This window comes from Homo sapiens, chromosome 15 (genome assembly GCF_000001405.40).
Source record: "Homo sapiens chromosome 15, GRCh38.p14 Primary Assembly".
In the NCBI taxonomy this organism is placed as follows: domain Eukaryota; kingdom Metazoa; phylum Chordata; class Mammalia; order Primates; family Hominidae; genus Homo; species Homo sapiens.
The window spans coordinates 95,103,216-95,125,157 of record NC_000015.10 but is presented as its reverse complement, the minus strand read 5'-3'; the positions used below and the strand labels follow the sequence as shown (position 1 = coordinate 95,125,157).

General features: G+C 38.4%; 1 long non-coding RNA gene across 1 annotated transcript in view; it reads right to left on the bottom strand.

Annotated features, from left to right (window-relative positions):
* The window catches only part of LOC105370991 (uncharacterized), a 152,871-nt gene that overhangs the window by 46,630 nt on the left and 84,299 nt on the right, over positions 1 to 21,942 (bottom strand). The window contains exon 5 of the long non-coding RNA XR_002957693.2: positions 2,145 to 2,233. This is a non-coding gene — a long non-coding RNA (uncharacterized LOC105370991). The remainder of the gene's footprint in view (positions 1 to 2,144; positions 2,234 to 21,942) is intronic.

Sequence of the window (21,942 nt, the reverse complement as noted above, 5' to 3'; positions counted from 1 at the left end):
ATATTCTACTTAAACTTAAATTCCTACTCACTCAACTTTTGATTTGTACTGTGAGCTGACTGTAAAGCACTGTAGTTTCTCTATAGTTTGATTTCCTTTACTAAACATGGGAAGAGGATAAGTCTGAAGGAGACGGTTGTAAGGTTGTAATGGTAACTTTAAGCATATAAAGTGTTGGTCTGAGTCATTCGCTTATCAGTCTTTGGCTCTTAAGCACAGGTAGTTAAATACCAGAAATTAAGGATGGAGGTCCTGAAACTATGAAGTGTAGAGCTTATTTTACTAATTTCTCTTTATTTTATTGGCTATCTTCTTCATCTTTGACTGGCTGTCTATATTTACAATTACATCCTTCCAGTTGTCCTTCTCAGAATTAAACCATAAATACAACTTAAAGCTGCTAGTTTCTTAAAATATTTTTAATCATCTAGAGATTCCATGCACAAATGACAAATCTTCTGTTTCTCTCTCCTAACATATTAAGAAAAAGTCTTACCCTTGTACCTACTTTAATCAGGTCTGGCCTAATAAATGTGGTAGGGAGCCTATGCTCAGAAGTTAGAAACAGGATGAGCGTCAAAGTAGAAATACAAATCCAGAAAAATTATTTGCTGAATGGGAAAGATAGCAGGAATGATTGGGGAAAAAACATGCTCCAACAGCCATAAAGCAGAACATTCCAAACCATCTTTACATTAAGTTTATTTTATATTTAAATTAAATTTTTATATATAGATTCATGGTTGGCTGCACCATGTACTATTTCTATTGTTGCATTTTATGTGTGTGTGTGTGTGTGTGTGTGTGTGTGTGTGAATCAAGATGAGGAAGGCATATTAATGAAAGAATTATTGTGTTGGAAAATTTATTTCACTATAAATTTATTTTTTCATCTTCTGTTGAGGAAAAGGCTTATCCTGTGTTTTATTATTTGAAGGATTGGTTTTATAGAAAGAAGAGAAGAGCAAAAGGATACTTAGAAAAAGGGAAGTACTCAGGGAAAATAGAAAGGGCAGTAAGAAGAAATAAAAGTTGGGAAAATTAGTGCAGCTTGTATGGAAAGAGAGTAGGAGAAGAAGGTGCACTTTACTGACTTGTTTCAAAACCCAAGTAGCTTGCAATCCTTTTTTGGGGCACAAAGAACCCCTATCTTAGTAGGTGTGGTACCTGCATCACAAGTCAGGCTCTCCTGGATTCTCTGGATTCTTTTTTTTTTTTTTTTTTTTTGGCTTTCCCACCTAATGACTAATAAGAGACATCAACTTCTCCTGTGACTTCCACATCCTTATTCAGTTTAGGGCCTTGGGAGCCTGAGCTTCCTAGTCTTCCAAAAGTAAGGATTACTGATATGGATCTCAAGGCCCTTATGCAACTACAAACATGATGGAGGATTCATCTCTAGCTCAACTAGAATTGTAGCCCCTAAAACCCATTAGATTTTCTAAGGCCCTCATAAAACCTACCCTGTTCTCTCCATGCTTTATCACAAATCACCTATTGCCTGAGAGAAGATAATTGGAAAACAATGTCAATCTTATTAAGTCTTCTTGTTCATTTCTCTGTTGGCTGTATCCACTCCCTAGAATAATTTTTATGAGAGCAGTGATTTAGTTTTCTTATTCCCTATCATATGCCCAATGCCTGAATCAGCATCTGACCCATAGTAGGCCATCAGTAAATACATGTTGAACAAATAATAAACACTTACAGAGGAATATTTTCATACAAGCTGGTTGATTGTCACAAAGACAAAGTATATTCATGTTAAATGAAACTCAGAAGGTTGTAAACAGCATTTCAAACTTGTAACTGCCCTTTAACTGTTAAGTGCATTTACAGTTCAGTTTAACACAGCCTGTATCTTCATTTATAAGCCCGGTGAGGGCAAGGATTTGTGGTTTTTGTAATTATTTTGTTAATTCTCTTTCCCCAGGAGCCTCATGGTTTTGTCAGCTGAAATAGTACACCCACTATAGAGTAGAGTGAATTTAGTGTTTATTTCTGCTGATGATGAAGGAGCCATTCCAAATTACTCTACTGGAATTACATTGAACATGGACAAAAATCTTCAATCAAACAAATTCATACAAAAGGAATTCAGGGTATTTAATCAGAAGAGAAGGAGACAGAGGAGGCAAAGATACCATTTTCAAGTGTCGGGAAGTCCATAATGTCATTTAGAAGAGGGCATGGTCCTGTTCAGTGTTGCGTGTATTATTGCTCCTTTCCATGCCTATCTCAATAAAGAAAATAGAGCAGATTTTAGTTCAATATAATCAGTAAACAACACTCAGGTATAACACAGAAACAACAGTTCTCTAGAAATATAAGGCTCTCCAAAATTGTATCAATTCAAATAGAAGCTAAGTTCCTATATGACTTTTCATGAATATAGTAAGAATGACTTCTTGCCTATGTGAAAAATGGGACTCAACTAGATGGCCCGTAATTTGCAACTCTAAATTTCTAGTGTACATGACTGAATGAGTATCTGTAATATGGTTTGCATTCCCTAACCTCTTAGGGAGCTCTTAAAAAGTATAAAACTGGTCACAAATATTAATTGAGAAGGTTGCAATCTATTGAGGAGCCCAGTGTCAGTTCTAAGAAAAAGAAATGAAAGAATGCAATGCAGGAGTTCAATAAAGAAATTTCAGAATAGATTGATGCTTAGTACTGTAATTTTCCATAGCTACAACATCTAAGGCAGATAAGTGGTGTGTCCAGCCCAATCAAATATCCTTTGCTATATGAGCACAAGTCTTTCTAATATAGGGGTTGTAGGATGGCCTTTAAAAAGTCAAGAAGCTGCATTTGGAGAGTAAGGTATACTCTGATCAATAAAAGACCTTGGTAGCAAAAGGTCCAGTAAAGTGGGTTATATTAATCCTCAGAAATAAGTGAATGGATATTCGAGGACTGGATTAAATATTCTCAACTTGGAGCATTTCTAAAGTTTTGTAACTTTGCTCACTCATGAGCTTAAATGTAGAGGAACAGGTGCCACTGAGGTAGGTGATCAGTGCTTAAATCCATAAGCATCTGCTTCTGAGTTCATTGATCTGTTTCTTATCTAATATATAGTTCCATTCATTCCTCACACCTGCCCTGTGAGAGAGGTATCTTTATTCCCATTTTACAGATAAAAGCAGAAAACATCAACATCCTCAGAATATAGTCCTAACACAGCCCAAAAGCTGGACTAACATAGCTGGAATGATGAACTGGTTTTGGGAGTGAAATAGGAGATTGGGGAATAACACCCACACGGAAAGATGGAGGAGTACATATTTGGCTCTTCCAAGCTGTCTGTTCTCAGTCATGTTTGGAGAAACGGAGGTAGTTGAGTAACTCCTGTGGTTGAAAGCCCCTAGGATAGCTCCCAGTGACCCTGCCTCCTGACATTCACCCACTGTGTAATCCCTTCCCCTGGAGTATAGGTTGAATTACTTTATTTTCTAGAATAAAGATAGACTAGAATAGAATACAAAAAAAAAGTGATAGGTTATCACTTCTGAGATTAGATTGCAAAAGCATTGTGACTTCCGTCTTGCTTATCCTCTCTGGCTCTCTGGGAGAACCCCAGTGCCATATTGTGGTGGAACTCTGGAAAGGCCCAGGTAGCAAGAAACTGCCATCTCCAAGAGTGAGTAAGGACTTGAGGCCTCCCAATAGCAGTGTGAGTGAGCATGGAAACAGGTTCTTCCCATGGAGCCTTGAGGTGACTGCTGCCCAGGCTGACACCTTGATTGCAACCTTGTGAGAAGCCCTGAGTCAGAGGCACTCAGCTAAGCCATACCTGGATTCCCGACCCACATAAATTATGAGATAGTAAGTTTGCTGTTTGAAGCTGATAAACCTTGCTATGACTTGTTACACAACAAATGATAACTCATAAACTCCTATTAAAAGTGAGATATCTTTGGGATCTAGGAGAGTTTAGGAAGACTTTAGGAGGAGGAGTGGAAGTTTGTACTAGAAAGTCTTGGCTAATAGAAAGTCTTGAATCAGTGCAGAAAACAAACTGTGAATATACAAAGATGCTGAGACTGATTGCCCCTGATATAGTTAAGCAGAGCAGGAACTATAGAGCCACTAATATTAAGTGACAGATGATGTGCCAGGAAGTAATGAAACTTAAAACAGCTGCCTGAACAGGTAGGGCAGTTGCTCCTCAATTTTTCAATTACAAGGATGCTTTATTCTTTTTTACTCTGGGGGTGTAGAAAACCAACCCTGTCACACTCTCATCCAGCACCTTTCCATGGCTCCCCACTATCTACACACACATGCCTGATCTTTCTAGTGAGGCACAGCAGGCCCTCCCTCTGTCAGGCCTCTTCCTGCCCCTTCAGGTTCACCTCTTGCCCATCACTTCCTCAAACTTTATGCATGGAGTTCTCTAAATGCATCAAAGACTTTAACACTTCTTGATCTTACAGCGATGATCTCATTTTCCTGGAGCGTTCTTTATCACCTTCTTCAAAGGTTAACTCCTCAGATGTTTTTAAGATTCCCTGGAACCGTCCCACTGCCAAGGCAGAGTTTCCTTTCTGTGTGTCCCTTGAGGACCAGCTGTAAAGGCAACTGTAGAACACCCCATGTTGTATTGAGATGATTTTTTCCTAGGTCTTTCTTTCCATCCCTCCCCATGGTAGGCACTGAGCTGAACTGCCCTATCACTTGAAATATTTTGCGTGTAAACCCAATTTTGTAATTGTGTTTTACTTCCTCAAAAGCTTATATATAGCTGCCCATTAGAGCTTAAGATCAGAATGAGACAAGATCAGGATAAATTCAAACATAATATATATCACTCATGTCAAAAGAAGATAATCTCAACATTTTTGTAACTTTATAGAGATGATGATATGGTTGCTTGGCTGCTCTTAGTCTCTTTAAAATGTTTTAGTAGCTCAAAGACACCTCCCTCCCCACCACTGGTGTTCTTAAAACCTGTAGAGGTCCTTGTGAAGCCCTGTGATTTCTTGTTTTCCTGGAGAATCTGTTGACTTTTTGTGAGCTACAAAGCAAAAATAAAATAAGGAAACCCATATGTATGCTTGTGTTATATATGCATCTCGTGTAAGTTCTCAGAAGTGCTGGAGCAGTGTTTTTCAACATGTTGCAGCCTCTGTGGTAGGGTTTAATGTTGTTGTTAATTTCAGTCAAACACAATGCCAACTACTATAGTCCGTGCACCCCTTGGCCACATCTGCAAGATTAAACAGGGACATCTCATGGTTCATCTCAACTCGTGTTCAGTAAAAAACCTCATACAATATTAGAAAAAAAGGAGATAGTGGTCAAAATGTCTCTAAAAGAGTGACATAGTTTGAAGGCTGGAAAGGATGTCAGAGACCGACTGGCGCACCATCTTCACTTTTCCAATGGTAAAGGTGGCTGAAAGCTGTGAACTAACAGACTCAGTCACACAGCTGGTTAGTAGCCATGCTGGGAGGGATGCGGGAACAAAGGCAAGTCAACAGTAAACTATTTTATAGGCAAAGGCAAATATCCTCAATTTTGCTTCAGCTCTCTGAATACTTGGGACAGATCATATATTCACTTTAACAATGCAGATATCAGCCTTGGGCTCTGCTTCCTTTGGTCTATATAAAGAGTTCACACTAGATCAATCAACATGTTGCATTTGCGTGGTGTTGTACTGGCTCACATTTTCTCTTGGATCCTGCCTTCTGTTCTTTCCATATCCCTTTTGTGTATGAAAACATGGAGCACGTTGCAGTCTGCAGTTACACTGGCTGACAGAACAGACATTGAGTCAATCCCGGGGAGCAATAGATTCAACCTTGGGAAGCTCCAGCATGTTCTGGCAGCTGCTAGTGAAAGCTGTACTATACATGCCTCCCAGAAATGTCCTGGGCATGTTGCTTTCTAAGAGAAACATTTGTATAAACTACCCATTGTGCAAACTTAACATCAGTTAGTGGTTTCTCATACAACTTGTAGAAACTTTTGCACAATTCTCGGAAGAGAAAGCAGTGACTAACCCAGAAAGAGACCTGCTGAGAGAAATAAGGACCTGAGTAACCAGGAAGAAAACCCAAGTCTGTTGGAGACAGGGTTACTGGGGTTCTGATTCTTCCTTTGCCTTTTCCTTGCTGTGCTAGAGAAACATCAGTCCACATGACAAGATTTGAAGTATCTATGGAATCTTACTTTTTAGGAGTTCAAGGAAAAAAACAAACTGAAACAAAAAAAAAACCAGCAGGTATATAAAAAGCAAGTATGAAAGGGTGAGCATTTCAAAGGAGAGAGGGATAACATAATGAAGAAATGCACTGAAATATCTTCAAATAGATGTAAAGCAAAGTAATAATGCTGTATTCTTTTCTGCAAATTAAATTAAATGCACTACATTTTATTAAATTAATTTTTGTGGGTACATAGTAGGCTTATAGATTTATGAGGTACATGAAATATTTGGATACAGGTATGCAGTATATCATAATCACATCAGGGTAAATGGGGTATACATCACTTCTACTATTTATCCTTTGTGTTGCAAACAATCCAATTATACTCTTTGTTATTTTAAAATGTACAATTAAATTATTTTTGACTATAGTCTCCCTGTTGCTTTATCAAATACTAGAACTCATTCATTCTCTCTATTTTCGTATCAGTTAACCTCCCCAGCTTCTGGTAACCACCCTTCTACTCTCTATGTCCATGAGTTCAATTGTTTTAATTTTTAGCTTCCACAAATAAGTGAGAACATGCAAAGTTTGTGTTTCTGTGCCTGTCTTATTTCACTTATAATGACCTCCAGTTCCATCCATGTTGTTGCAAATGACAGAATCTCATTATTTTTTATGGCTGAACAGTACTCCATTGTGTATATGTACCACATTTTCTGTATCCATTCATGTGTCGATGGACACTTAGCTTGTTTCCAAATCTTGGTTATTGTGAATAGTACTGCAATAAACATGAGAGTACAGACATCGTTTTGACATACTGATTTTTTCCTTTGGGTTTCTACCTAGCAGTGGGGTTGTTGGATCATACATGTGTTAGGTCATTCTCACATTGCTATAAATAAATACCTGAGATGGGATAATTTATACAGAAAAGAGGTTTAATTGGCTCACGGTTCTGCAGGCTGTACAGGCAGCATGATGCTGGCATCTGCTCAGGATCTGGTGAGATCTCAGGAAACTTATGATCATGGCAGAAGGCGAAGGGGAAAAAGCCATGTCACATGGCCAGAGCAGGAGCAAAAGAGGGAGAGGAGAGATGCCACATATTTTTAAATGGCCAGATCGCATGAGAACTCACTCACTATTGTGAGAACAGTATCAAGGAGATGACACTAAACCATTCATGAGAAATACACCCCTATGATCCAGTCAGTTCCTACCAGGCCCCAACTCTGACACTGGGGATTATATTTCAATAGGAGATTTGAGCAACGACATACTCCAAACTGTATCAGTGTGATAGCTTTATTTTTAGTTTTTCGAGGAACCTCCAAACTGTTTTCATAGTGATTGTACTAATTTACATTCCCACCAACAGTATACAAGAATTCCCTTTTCTCCACATCCTTGCCAACATTTGTTACTGCCTGCCTTCTGAATGAAATGCATTTAAACAGGGTAAGATGATGTCTCAATGTAGTTTTGATTTGCATATACCTGTTGCCATTTGTATGTCTTCTTTTAAAAAAACATCTATTCAGATCTTTTGCCCATTTTTTAATCAGATTATTAGATATTTTTCCTGTAGACTTAAGCTTCTTATATATTCTGGTTATTAATTCCTTGTCAGATGGATAGTTTGCACATACATTCTCTCATTCTATAGGTTGTATCTTCACTTTGTTGATTGTTTCCTTTGCTGTCGAGAAGCTTTTTAACTTTATGTAACCCGATATATCCATTTTTTGCTTTGGATGCCTCTGCTTGTGAGGTATTACTCAAGAAATCTTTGCCCAGTCTAATGTTTTGGAGAGTTTCCCTAAAGTTTTCTTTTAGTAGTCTGAGGTCTTAGATTTAAGTCTTGAATATATTTTGATTTGATTTGTGTATATGGTGAGAGAGACAGGGGACTAGTTTCGTTCTTTTGCATGTGGATGTCCAGTTTTCCCAGCACCATTTATTGAGGAGACTACCTTTTTCCCAGTGTATGTTCTCGGTTACTTTGTCAAAAATGAGTTCACTGTAGTTGTGTGGATTTGTTTCTGGGTTCTCTATTCTGTTCCATTGGTCTATGTGTTTGTTTTTATGCCCTTTCCATGCCGTTTTGGTTACTCTATCTCTGTAGTATGACTTGAAGTCAGATAATGTGATTCTTCCAGGTTTCTTTTTACTTAGATTGTTGGCTATTCTGGATCTTTTGTGGTTCCATATAAATTTTAAGATTTTTTTCTATTTCTGTGAAGAATATCGTTGGTATTTTGATAGGCATTGCATTGAATCAGTAGATTGCTTTGGGTAGTATGGACATTTTAACAATATTGATTTTTTTCAATTCATATATATGGACTATATTTCCATTTTTTGGTGTCCCCTTTAATTTCTTGCATCAACGTTTGATAGTTTTCCTTGTAGAGATCTTTCACTTCTTTGATTAATTCCTAAATATTTTATTTAATTTATATATAGTTAATGGGATTATTTTATTGATTTTTTTTCAGATTGTTCTCTGCTGACATAGAAGTATGCTACTGATTTTTGTATGTTGATTTTGTATCCTGCAACTTCACTGAATTTGTTTATGAGTTCTAATAGTTTTTTGGTAGTGTCTTTAGGCTTTTCCTATCATCTTCAAACAAAAATAATTTGACTTCTTCCTTTTCAATTTGGATGCGCTTTATTTCTTTTTCTTGTTTGGTTGCTCTAGCTAGGACTTCTAGTCCTATGTTAAATAACAGTGGTGACAGTGAGCATCCAGATGTTAGAGGAAAGGCTTTCAGTTTTTCCCTATTCAGTATGATAACTACCTACGAGTCTCTCATATATGACATTTATTATGTTGAGGTATGTTCCTTCTGTTCCCAGTTTTTTTGTTTTTGTCATAAATGGTGTTGAATTTTATCAAATGCTTTTTCAGCGTTAATTTAAAGGATCATGTGGTTTTTGTCCTTCATTCTATTGATATAATGTATCACACTGGTTGATTTGTGTATGTCAAACTATCCTGGCATCACTGGGATAAATCCCCTTGGTCATGGTGAATAATCCTTTTAATATAAGATAATAGTAGTTTACACATCACAATTACAGTATTACAGTATTCTGTGTCTTTCTGTGTGTGTGCTTACTATTACCAATGAGCTTTGTACCTTCAGATGATTTATTCTTGCTTGTGAACACCTTTTTCTTTCAGAATGAAGAACTCCCTTTAGCATTTCCTATAAGACAGGTCTGGTGGTGATGAAATCCCTCAGTCTTTGTTTGTTTGTAAAGGTCTTTATATCTCCATCAAAAGTTGGAAGGATATTTTTGCCAGATATATTATTCTAGGGTAAAAGTTTTATTTTTTCTTCAGCACTTTAAGTATGTCATGCCACTCTCTCTTATCCTGTAAGATTTCTACTTGAAAAGTCCACTACCAAATGTATTTGAACTTCATCATTTGCTATTTATTTATTTTCTCTTGCTGCTTTTAGAATTCTTTCTTTATCCTTGACTTGGGGACTTTGATTATTAATGCCTTGAAGTAGTCACCTTTGGGTTATATCTGCTTGATGTTCTATAACCTTCTTGGATTTGAGTGTTGATATCTTTCTCTAGGTTTGGGAAGTTCTCTAATATTATCTCTGTGAATAAACTTTGTATCTCTGTCTCTTTTTCTACCTCCTCTTTAAGGCTATTGACTCTTACATTTGCCCTTTAGAGGCCATTTTCTAGATCTTATAGGCATGCTTCATTGTTTTTCATTCTTTTTCTTTTGTCTCCTCTGAGTGTGTCTTTTCTTCTTTTTCTTTTTCTTTTTTTTTTTTTTTTTTTTGAGACAGAGTCTCACTCTGTCACCCAGGGTAGAGTGCAGTGGCGCAATCTTGGCTCACTGCAACCTCCAACTCCCAGGTTCTCTGCCCCCTAGGTTCAAATGATTCTCATGCCTCAGCCTCCTGAGTAGCTGGGACTACAGGTGCACACCACCATGTATGGCTACTTTTCTTTAATTTTTAGTTTTAGTAGACACAGGGTTTCACTAGGTTGCCCAGGCTGGTCTCAAACTCCTGGGGAAACTTGAAGGCATCCACCCACTTCAGCCTTCCAAAGTGCTAGGATTATAGGCGTGAGCCACCATGCCTGGCCTGACTGTGTATTTTCAAATAGCCTGCCTTCAAGCTCACTAATTCTTTCTTCTGCTTGATCAATTCTGCTATTAAGAGACTCTGATGCATTCATCAACATATCAATTGCATTTTTCAACTGCAGAATTTCTGCTTAATTCTTTTAATTTCTTTGTTAAATTTATCTGATAGAATTCTGAATTCCTTCTCTGTTTTATCTTTAATTTCTTAGAATTTCCTCAAAGCAGCTATTTGAATCCTCTGACTGATAGGTTATATAGCTCTGCTTCTCTAGGATTGGTCTTATTTATTTCATTTGGTGAGGTCATGTTTTCCCAGATGGCCTTGATGCTTTTTGATGTTCATCTGTGTCTGGGCATTGAAGAGTTAGGTATTTATTATAGTTTTCACATTCTGGGCTTGTTTGAGCCTGTCCTTTTTGAGAGAGATTTCTAGGTATTCAAAGAGACTTGGGCCCTGAGTCCAATAATGCTGTGGTTTTTTGCAGACTTGTATAGGTACCACCTTGGTGGTCTTGGATAAGATCCAGAAGAGTTCTCTGGATTAACAGGCAAAGGCTCTTATTCTTTTTCCTTACTTTCTGCCAAACAAAAGGAGTCTCTCTCTCTGTACTGAGCCACCTGGAACTGGGGGTGTATTGATGTAAACACCCCTATGGCCACCACCACCACTGAGACTGCACTGGGTCAGACCTGAAACTAGCACAGCATTGGGTCTGGTTCAAAGCCCTTCCCTTCAGGAAGGCAAGCTCCCCGAGACCCTGGATTTGTCCAGAGATGCTGTCTGGGAGGGAGTCAAAAACCTTAGCCATTTACATGATGTTCTACTCTACTACAGCTAAGCTGGCACTCAAATTGTAATACAAAGTCCTTCCCACTCTTCCCTCCTCTTTCCACTGTGGCTGAGCCGGTCCCTTTCTCTGTGGTCACAGCCAACAGTGGTCAACAGGGGATTCTGCCAGGTGACCGCCATTGCTTACTTAGAGCTCAAGGGCTCTTCAGTCAGCTTGTGGAGAATGCTGACTGGCCAGGGATTCACCCTTCATGGTAGGTCCAGAAATGCTGTCCAAGAGCCTAGGCCTGGACTCAGGGCCCCCAAGAGCCTGCTTGTTGCTCTATTCCACTGAGGCTGAGTTGGTACCCGGTTTTTAGTTTCTGTGACAGTGTCTATCTGTGTGCAGATAGTTGTTAAAATTTGGTGTTCTAGCTGTGGGGATGAATAGTATACGTTTCTATTCCATTATCTTGCTCTGCCAAAAAAAAAAAAAAAAAAAGCAACATACAAAGATACTTTATTTCATTTATTGATAATATACTATTATTATTTATATAGAATATTTTATTTTTGCTAAAAGTAGAGTCAACTTTAATACTCAGCAAAAAAGAGCAAATAATTATTTTATCTGTTACATTAGGGAAATTTTAATAAACTTTGTAACAGTGTGTTACCTGCTGAAAAACGCTTTTTAATTTTTTATCTCAGTTGTTTTCACAAAAGAGTCTCATGAGGGAAGGAGAGTAAGAATTATCCCAATTTTACAAATATAAACAATTCAGCTCAGAGATTAAGTAATTTGGCCAAGGTCATCAAAAGTTGGAAGTGTAATTGGCAGAGATTCAAGACATGATTATTCCCAGGGACATTCCTATGATATTAACCTGCCTTGGAAGGCCTGGAAAGCCCTTATAGACCCAGAAAACTTGATTAATAAAGAATTGAGGAGAGCTGCAAGAGTGTGGATCAGGGCATCTCAAAAGTGTCAGGTACCTAGTGGGTTATCCACTGGAGTGGAATAAAGAGAACAGGCCCCAGGATACCTCATGTGGGCTCCTACCCAAAATGAGCAGGCCCAGAATCCAGCAGAGGAGAGAACTGAGATGAGAGGGAAGTCAAATACTAAAGGAAGGGATCAGGGGACATTAAAGAGAAACTGACTTGTTGACAATTTAAACCATGGTCCTTTTAATCACCACAATCTATTTTTCCTTCTACAGTAATTGAGTTGGAGGTGGGCACATGGCAAGACAACATTTTCCAGCCACCCTTTCAGTAAGGTTTGGCAAGGATCTAAGCTGTCCCCAGTGGATATGAGCACTGGATATGTGTCTTCAGGTGTAGCTTATGATAGAGCATGTGGCTTCTCTCCATTTCCTTCTGCTTTCCCACCTGCTAGAACCCAGATATGGTGGAACCATGCAATACTAAGGAATGCAGTCCCTGATTGTCTATGTGGGGCAGGCTGACTGCCAGCCAAAACTCTCACCTGTGTCTGTTATGAGCAAGAGAAAAATATCTTTGTTTCCTAAGACAGCAGTCCCCAGATTTTTGGCACCAGGGACTGGTTTCATGGAAAGCAATTTTTCGACAGCCAGGGAGGGAGATGGTTTTGGGTTGATTCAAGTGCATTATCTTTATTGTGCACTTTCTTGCTATTATTATTACATTGTATTATATAATGAAATAATTATGCAACTCACCATAATATAGAATCAGTGGGAGTCCTCAACTTGTTTTCCTGCAACTAGACAGTCCCATCTGGGGGAGATGAGAGAGACAGTGACAGATCATCAGGCATTAGAGTCTCATAAGGAGTGTGCAACCTAGATCCCTCGCATGTGCAGTTCACAATAGGGTTTGTGCTCCTCTGAGAATCTAATGCTGCCACTAATCTGACAGAAGGTGGAGCTCTGGTGGTAATGCAAGCGATGGGGAGCGGCCATAAATACCGATGAAGTTTCGCTTGCTGCTCACCTCCTGCTGTGTGGCCCACTTCTTAACAGGCTATAGACCAGTACCAGTTCATCACCCTGGGCCTGGGGACCCTGTCCTAAGATATGTATTTTTTCCAAATTGTATCAATTTTGTCTTACCTCATGAATGCAGGAGTAAACTAACATTTACATCCCACACCCAATTAGATGGTTTACCAGTGTCTGATCAAATAGTTGTAACAACTCTGCAAGGTGGATATAATTATTCTTATTTTGTAGTTGAGAAAACTGGGTCTAAGGAGAGGTTAACTGACTCGATGCAGGCTCCATGGGAGACAGTGAAATGTAAGGGTGGGATGTGGAGTGTTGACTAGCTGGTTGCAAAGCCTGCCTGTGCTCTTCATTGGAATGTAATTTTCAATCTCCCTAAGCCTCATTTTCTTCTTCTGTAAAATAGGGATAATTACAGAACCTCTCTCTTAGGGTTCTTGGGAAATTCAGTGAGATAATCAATCTGAAGTGCCTGATATATAGTAAGAGCACAGTAAGTGCTGATGTCTTTATGCCACAGCTAGTAAACGGTTGAGATAAGATCCAAACCAAATTCTCTGATGCTCCAAAACCCATAATCTTGTCACCCAGGGAGCAAGATCTGATCTGTCTTTGTGCTGCCTATTTCCTGCTTTTAGAGCACGTTTTTCCTCCTTTCCCACCCTCGTAGCTACTCCCTTTTTAGTGTATTGCTTGTGAGGCTTGGGCCTGGTATTATATCTGCTACTGAAACTAAAAGTGGTCATAAAGAAAATATAGTTTCCTGCCATTAGAAAGACTTTCCTCTGCATCTAGGGAAATATGTTTCATCCATTTAATACACAACACAGTTATATAGGTCCTCCAGTCAAAACACTCCGAAATATACATTTTAAAAAACATAGTTAAGATGTCATACTTTTCCCTACAGTACTTTAGAGCTAAATGTGTAGCAGCGTTTGTTTCTGTTTCCTTGTCCTGAGGTTCCTCCCCTTTCTTCCAGGTCATCCATCTGCTGACTGTTCCTGGTCCTTGTTATGCAAGCACATCAGTGTGGCCACTCAAAGATCCACACACCTGAAGGAATTCACTTCCAGGAAATGTTAATGCATTTGCCCAACATCAGTCTCCCATTTCATTTTTAGTCCTTTTCTTTCCTAATAGAATGCTTATCACCATCAGTGAAAAAAAAAAAAAAATTGGGGGTTGGGGAGAGGTGGGTCAAGGGACATAACTTTAAGTTATGAGAAATAAGTTCAAGAGATATTATGTTGTACAATAGTTAATAACAACAAATTGTATTCTTGAAAATTGCTAAGAGAGTAGATTTTAAGTGTTTTTACCACAGAGACACAAAAATGGTATGTGTGTGAGGTAATGCATATGTTAATTAGCTCAATTCCACCATTCCATAATGTATACGTATTTCAAAACATCACATTGTACACAATAAATGCATACACTTTTTATTTGTCAATGAAAAAAAAATAGGAAGCCTTTTTCATATTCCTCTAGGGCATCCCTGCTCATTAGAACTGTATTAGTCCGTTTTCAAGCTGCTGATAAAGACAAACCCGAGAGTGGGTAATTTATAAAGAAAGAGGCAGCCGGGCTTGGTGGCTCACGCCTGTAATCCCAGCACTTTGGGAGGCTGAAGTGAGCAGATCACGAGGTCAGGAGATCGAGACCATCCTGGCTAACACAGTGAAACCCTGTCTCTATTAAAAAATACAAAAAATTAGCCAGGCGCGGTGGTGAGCGCCTGTAGTCCCAGCTACTCTGGAGGCTGAGGCAAGAGAATGGCGTGAACCCGGGAGGCGGAGCTTGCAGTGAGCCAAGATCGCGCTGCTGTACTCCAGCCTGGGCAACAGAGCCACTGCGCTCCAGCCTGGGCGACAGAGCAAAACTCCGTCTCAAAAAAAAAAAAAAAAAAAAGAAAAAAGAAAAAGGGGTTTAATGGACTCACAGTTCCAAGTGGCTGGGAAGGCCTCACAATCATAGCAGAAGGTGAAAGGTATGTCTTACATGGTGGAAGACAAGAGAGAAATGAGAGCCAAGCAAAAGGGGTTCCCCTTATAAAATCATCAGATCTCCTGAGACTCATCCACTACCACAAGGATGGTATGACGGAAACAGTCCCCATGATTCCATTATCTCCCGCCAGGTCCCTCCCACAATACATGGGAATTATGGGAGCTACAACTCAAGATGAAATTTGGGTGGGGACACAGCCAAACCATATTAAGAACTCTCTGCAATGATGGAAATAATTTATATCTGTGTTATACTGGCCGGTATGGTAGCCTCTAGCCACATGTGGCTGTTGAGCACTTGAAATACGGCTAGTTTAACTCAAGAAACCAAAATTATAATTACAGCATATTTAATTTTTATTAACTTCAATTTATATTGCAATAGGTAGCTAGTGGCTACTGTATTGGCAGCACATTTCTAAAGTTTAGACAAGCACTGTCCAATAGGAAGCATAATATCAGCCACATATGTGATTTAAAATTTTCTAGTAGCCACATTAAAAAGTTAAAAGAAAAGAAAAGAATGCAGGTAAAAGTTATTTTAGCAACATATTTTATTATCATCATATTATATAATCCTCATGTACAATAAAGTAAACATGTAATTAATATTAACATTTTTTCAGACTTTTTTTTACACTAATTCTTTGGAAATCTCTTTTGCATTATATTTTAGGCTTTCAGACATCTCAGTCGAAACCACTCAGATTTCAAGTGCTCAACAGACACAGGTGCCTATGGCTACCGTATTGGATAATGCAGCCCTATAGCATTAAAGTGTATGCTTCTTAGCGGAAGGGACCTGTCTTGTTCGTCAATAAATCCCTTGCTTTCAACACTACCCTGGCCCATAAGAAGCCTTTAATAAATGTGTTCATTGACTCCCATTCAGGATGATCAATTCTTACACTGGATTTACAGTTAAACCAAATAATGCCTACAAAAATATATTAAGCTCTTATATTAGCTCTTCCATTTAGAGTTAAATCTATTTTATTTTTACAAGTACCTAAGTGTTATGAGTTTCCATGTATATTGTGAATTTTAATGCTTGAGAGAGGGAATAAGAAAACCTTTTCTATAAAGGAGCAGACAGTAAATATTTTAAGCTTCGCAAGTCATATAGGCTCTGTTGTAACTACTCAACTCTGCTGCTCTAGGGCAAAGTGATCATAAACCATATGTAAACGTAGGGGTGTGGCTGTGTTTCAATAAAACTTTATTTACAAAAACAAGCATCAGGCAGGATTTGGTCCTGAATGCTGGATTTTGCCAGCCCTTGCTATACCTTACAGCAAGGTCTGTATTTTAAATATATGTTGTCCTTAACACTTCTAACACGGTACTGTATAAACTAGAGGTGCTCAATATATAAATGCTGACCTAATATGAGAAAAGTATTCTGCTTCTGTTTAACACCATCAGTTCACGTAGCTACTCTTTTATGAAACAATTATTGCATGTTTAAATTGCTGCATCCTCACACTTTGCACCATGCCAGACACATAGTAAGTGATTAACAAATGTTTATTAATGACTAATAAATGGATAAATGGATTCAATAGCTTACTAGGGGCTGAAGGAGTCCAGGAGGACTTCAAAAAGGTGGTAGCATTTGAACTGAGTATTAAAAGTGAGTAAGAGATAGCAGAGAAACCTGTCAAATACTACCTCAGCTAGGTGAAAAAAGTCAAGGTCAGTATCAGTAGTCATAAATTATGTTGATAGTAGGTATTCTTCTTTGGGGGGTTGGGGGCATGCAGAGTTTCACTCTGTCACCCAGGCTGGAATGCAATGGCGCCATCTCACCTCTCTGCAACCTCCGCCTCCCAGGTTAAAGCAATTCTCCTGCCTCATCCTCCGGAGTAACTGGGATTACAGGCGAACGCCATCACGCCTGGCTAACTTCTGTATTTTTTGTAGAGACGGGGTTTCTCCATGTTGGCCAGGCTGGTCTCAAACTGACCTCAAGGGATCCGCCCACCTCAGCCTCCCAAAGTGCTGGGATTACAGGCATGAGCTACCGCGCCCAGCTGATAGTAGGTATTCTTGTTGTGGTGTAATAAAAATGGCCCTTTACCTCTGTATTTTTCTTCCCAATAACTCATAAAACCAGTCTTATCATGTGAAAAATATTAGATAAATTCCCATAGAGGGGCATCCTACAGAACATTTGAACAGTATGCCCCAAATTGAGAAGGTCATCAAAAACAAACAGAGTCAGAGAAACTATCATGACCAGGAGGAGCGTAAGGAGACATGAGGACTGAATGTCATGTGGTATCCTGAGACAGAAAAGAGAATTCTGTAAAGACTAAGAAAATATGAATAACGTGTGGGCTTTAGTATAGGATAATGTATCAGTATTGATTCATTAATTGTGACAAATATCCCATAATAATCTAAGATATTAACAATAGGGGACACTGAATATGGGCTATATGGAAACACTGTGTACTCTCTGCTTATTTTTTTCTGTACATATAAAAGTTTTTTTTTAAAATAAAGTCTATTTAAAAATAAAGAGCAGATGTAATCTACCAGCCAGCAGGACTGGAATGCTTATTGCAAAACTGGCCAAAAATTTAAAAGTAGGGTTCTCTAGCAAGAAGAAAAGGGCACCTAAATCCGGACAGAATGAACAGCATGAGCAAAGACATGGAGCCTTGGCATAGTCCGTGGCAAACACTTCTTGCTAATGACAGGATGAGACACGAAAGGTTTGGAGGTGGGGTGAAGACACATGACCAAATTTGTGTTTTAAATCTGAGGAGTGGGACAGTGACATTGGTGGTGGGAGTCACCTACGTGCGTTTTACAGTGGATAATATCACATTGCATCCCATCAAGAATAGTGCAGCATTAATCTATTTTTTACTATTTAAAGAACCCTCTAGGCTCAGCCCTTTCACACTGGCAGAAGGAGGCAGATGAACTCATAGAACAAAATCAATTAGTTCTAAATAGTTTCTTTTTTCCTTTTCTTCTGTTTTGTTTTTAAATTAGTGATATGGTAACGGTGTTGAGAGCCAAAGCTTGCAGTTGCAAGAACTAGACTAAGGACCTCAGCATGAAGTTGAGACAGTGAATGCCAACTACGTCTCTGCCAATAGCCTCATTTTCTAGATGAGTAAACAGAGGCATGGAGGGATTAAGTTACTGATCCAAAGCCTTACAGTCAGAATTCAAACCTTAATACCACACAGTACTATTGCTGCTGTAACAGGTATCATTCTGGTTAAAATCATACTCTCTTGTTTAAGTGAGAAATGATTAAGGTTATCACTTTGGTTTTTAAAACTTCCATTAATGAGTAAGTGAAGCCATGTAGACTTGCAAAAAAAAATGTATATATATGACTGAACCAGAACGCATGCCTGATACCCTAGCCACTTAGAGGGAGATTTTGAAAAGATGCCACCTTGGATCACCAGATGGTGCAATGTTCACCTCAGTGCTAATGATAATACCATAGAATTGGAAAGAACCTACGTGTAGAAAGCTATTCAGTGGCGTTGAATCAAGTGTGTAAGTTTCTTGTGGCTGCCATAACAAATTAGCACAAGAATGGTGGCTTAAAACAACAGAAATCTATTCCTTCACAATTCTGGAAGCCAGAAGTCAAAAATCAAGGTGCTGGCAAGGTCGTAGTCCCACCACAGCCTCTAGGGGAATTTTATTGATGCCTCTTTTAATTTCAGGTATGTTGCTGAGAGAGGAAGAAGAGAGAGAGGTAGTCTGATAATAACAATTTAAATTTCTTCCTTGGGTGTCATATTATAGCACCCTTTCATAATCCACCTGAATTAGTTTTATACTCTCACCACCTGTACCTTGTAATGTCAATGATTTAAGATACCAAGAAATAGCTTTTTCATACTCTAATTGCTGGAGTGCAATGGCGCAATCTCAGCTCACTGCAACCTCCGCCTCCCAGGTTCAAGCAATTCTCCTGCCTCAGCCTCCCAAGTAGCTGGGATTACAGGCGCCCACCACCATGCCCAGCTAATTTTTGTATTTTTAGTAGAGAGGGGATTTCACCATGTTGGCCAGGCTGGTTGTGAACTCCTGACCTCAGGTGATCTCCCTGCCTTGGCCTCCCAAAGTGCAGGAATAACACATACTCTAAATTTAAGGACCTGTAGTACAAGGCATTTTTAGTTGCCTGACTTCCAATTATCTTAATGCAAATATATTCCATTTAAACTTGCGAGTTGGTCTGTATAGAGAATTCATATGGGGATCTGGTTTGAACATGAAAATGTACACTTGGAGACAGGTGTCCATGTATCTGTCTGTTCTCATGGCTATGGTCACCACAATTCTAAGATCAAAAACAATGGAGTGAGATGGTATTCAGACTGATGAGAACGTGTTTTGCAGAGACTTTTAGTCTCAGCGGCTTTGTGAGGATGCAGAGCCTGTGTTTCAGGCCTGGTGTGTGAGGGATGAGGCCTTGAAACTCTGACTGTCTCCTTACTCTGACAGAGTTTTTATCACAGGCCTGGGGCTTCAGATATTTATCACTTTCATCCCTTCTTAACAATTATGATAGCTTCTTATATGTGAGCTCATCATTATTATGGAATTTCCTCAGAGTGTTGGAGACTTTACCTTCAACTCTGCTGTGGAAATTTCACATACCAAGGAGATTACAACACCATGGCTCTCCATGTCATTTGTGTCCTAAGTATGCATTTGAAAGCGCTGCAAAGTAGCATGAGTTTGTGGTTGAACATGAGGTGTATGACTGTACTGCGACTTCATGGCCTCAGGTTGCTGACAGATTTGGTGATTGTCCAATTAATTTGATTAATATTGACAACATAAACAGGCATCTCATCTCAATATGAGACATGTCTGTTTTACATTTTTAAAAACAGGTTTATTAAGATTTAATTCCACGTCATAGGGTGTAATCGTTTAATGTGTACTAGTAAGTGGTTTTTAGTATATTCATAAAAGTTCAGTGATGTGTAGATCAGCACTGGCTAATTTCAGAACATTTTCATCACCCCCAAAAGAAACCTCATACATATTAGCAGTCACCTCTCATTCCCCTCCCCCAGTCCATGGCAACCACTAATATAATTTCTGTCTCTATGGATTTGTCTCTTCTGAACATTTCATATACGTGGAATCACATAACACTACAGCCTTTTGTGCCTGATTTCTTTCACTTAACATAACATTGTTAAGGTTTGTCCCACGTTTACACCATGCATCAGAACTTCATTTCTTTTTGTGTCTCAGTAATATTCTGTTGCACGTATACATCACATGTTTATCTTTTCATCAGATAAACAAACATGTGTTGTATACGTTCAATAGAATGGACACAGATTGTTTCTACTTTTTTGCTATTATGAATAATGCTCTATAACAATTTGTGCATAATTTGTTGTGCGGACACATTATCGTATCTCTTGAGTATATGCCTAAGAGTAGAATTATGAAGCCACATGGTAACTCCCATGTATAACATTTTGAAGACCTGGCAAACTGATTTTCAATGTGGCTTCATTATTTTACCTTGCCACCAGCAATGTATGTATGTTCCAGTTTCTCCATATCCTCTTCAATACTTCTTAGTGCCCACCATTTTTTACTATGGTCATAGTACCTGGTATGAAGTGGTATCTCATTGTGGTTTTATTACTTCAACAACAATGATGTTAAGCATTGTTTCATGTACTTTTTGACCATTTCTATATGTTCTTTGGAGAAATGTCTATGTAAATCCTTTGTCTATTTTATATTTGAGTTGTCTTTCTATTGTTGAGTTTAATCAATTCATTAAATATTTGGAAACTGGTCTCTTGCCAGATATATGACTTATAAATATGCATTCAATTCTTGCATTCAATGGATTGTCTTTTCACATTATTGATGGTGCCCTTTGAAGCACAAACATTTTAAATTGTTGGAATGTTCAATTATCTATTTTTCTTTTGTTGCTTGAGCTTTTATTGTCATATCAAAGAAACATTGCCTAATCCAAGGTCTTGAAACTCTGTAACTGCTTTCTTCTAAGAATTCTATAGTTTTAACATATACATTTGGCTTCTGATCCAATAAGAGTTAACATTTGCATGTGGTATGTGGTAAGAGGTCAACTTTACTTTTTTGCATGTGGATATCTGGCAGTCCTAGTCCCATTTGTTGGAAAGAATTTTCTTGCTCTTATTCAGTTGTCTTGCAACACTTATCAAAAAATCAGTTTCCCATAAATGTAAGGGTTTATTTCTGTACACTCCATTTCATTTCATTGACCTATGCATCTATCCTATGCTAGCACCACGCTGTCTTGATTACTGTAGTTTGCAGCAAGTTTTGAAAATCAGGAAGTATGAGTCTTTCAATATTGTGTTTTTTCATTTGTTTGGTTCTTCCTTAGTTTCTTTCAATAATGTTTTGCAGTTTTCAATGTGTTAGTGTTTCACTTCTTTTGCTACAGTTATTTTTAAATATCATATTATTTTATGCTCTTATAGATGGAGTTTTTTAAGTTTCATCTTTGGAACTCATTTTTTTTTACATTGGCTTGTATCTTACAATCTTGTTGAACTCATTTATTAGATCTAATAGTTTTTTGGCAGATTTGATAGGATTTTCTACAAACACAATAATGTCATCTTCAAATAGGGATAGTTTCACTTCATTCTTTTCAATCTGGATGTCTTTAATTTATTTCCTTGCCTAATTGCCCTGGCTAGAATCCCCAGTACAATGTTGAATAGAAATGATGGGAGTGGACATCTACGTCTTATTCCTGATCTTCAGGTAAAGTATGCAGTCTTTACCAGTAAATGTAATATTAATTGTGGGGTTTCTGTAGATGCTCTTTATCAGGTTGAGGAAGTTTCATTCTATTCCT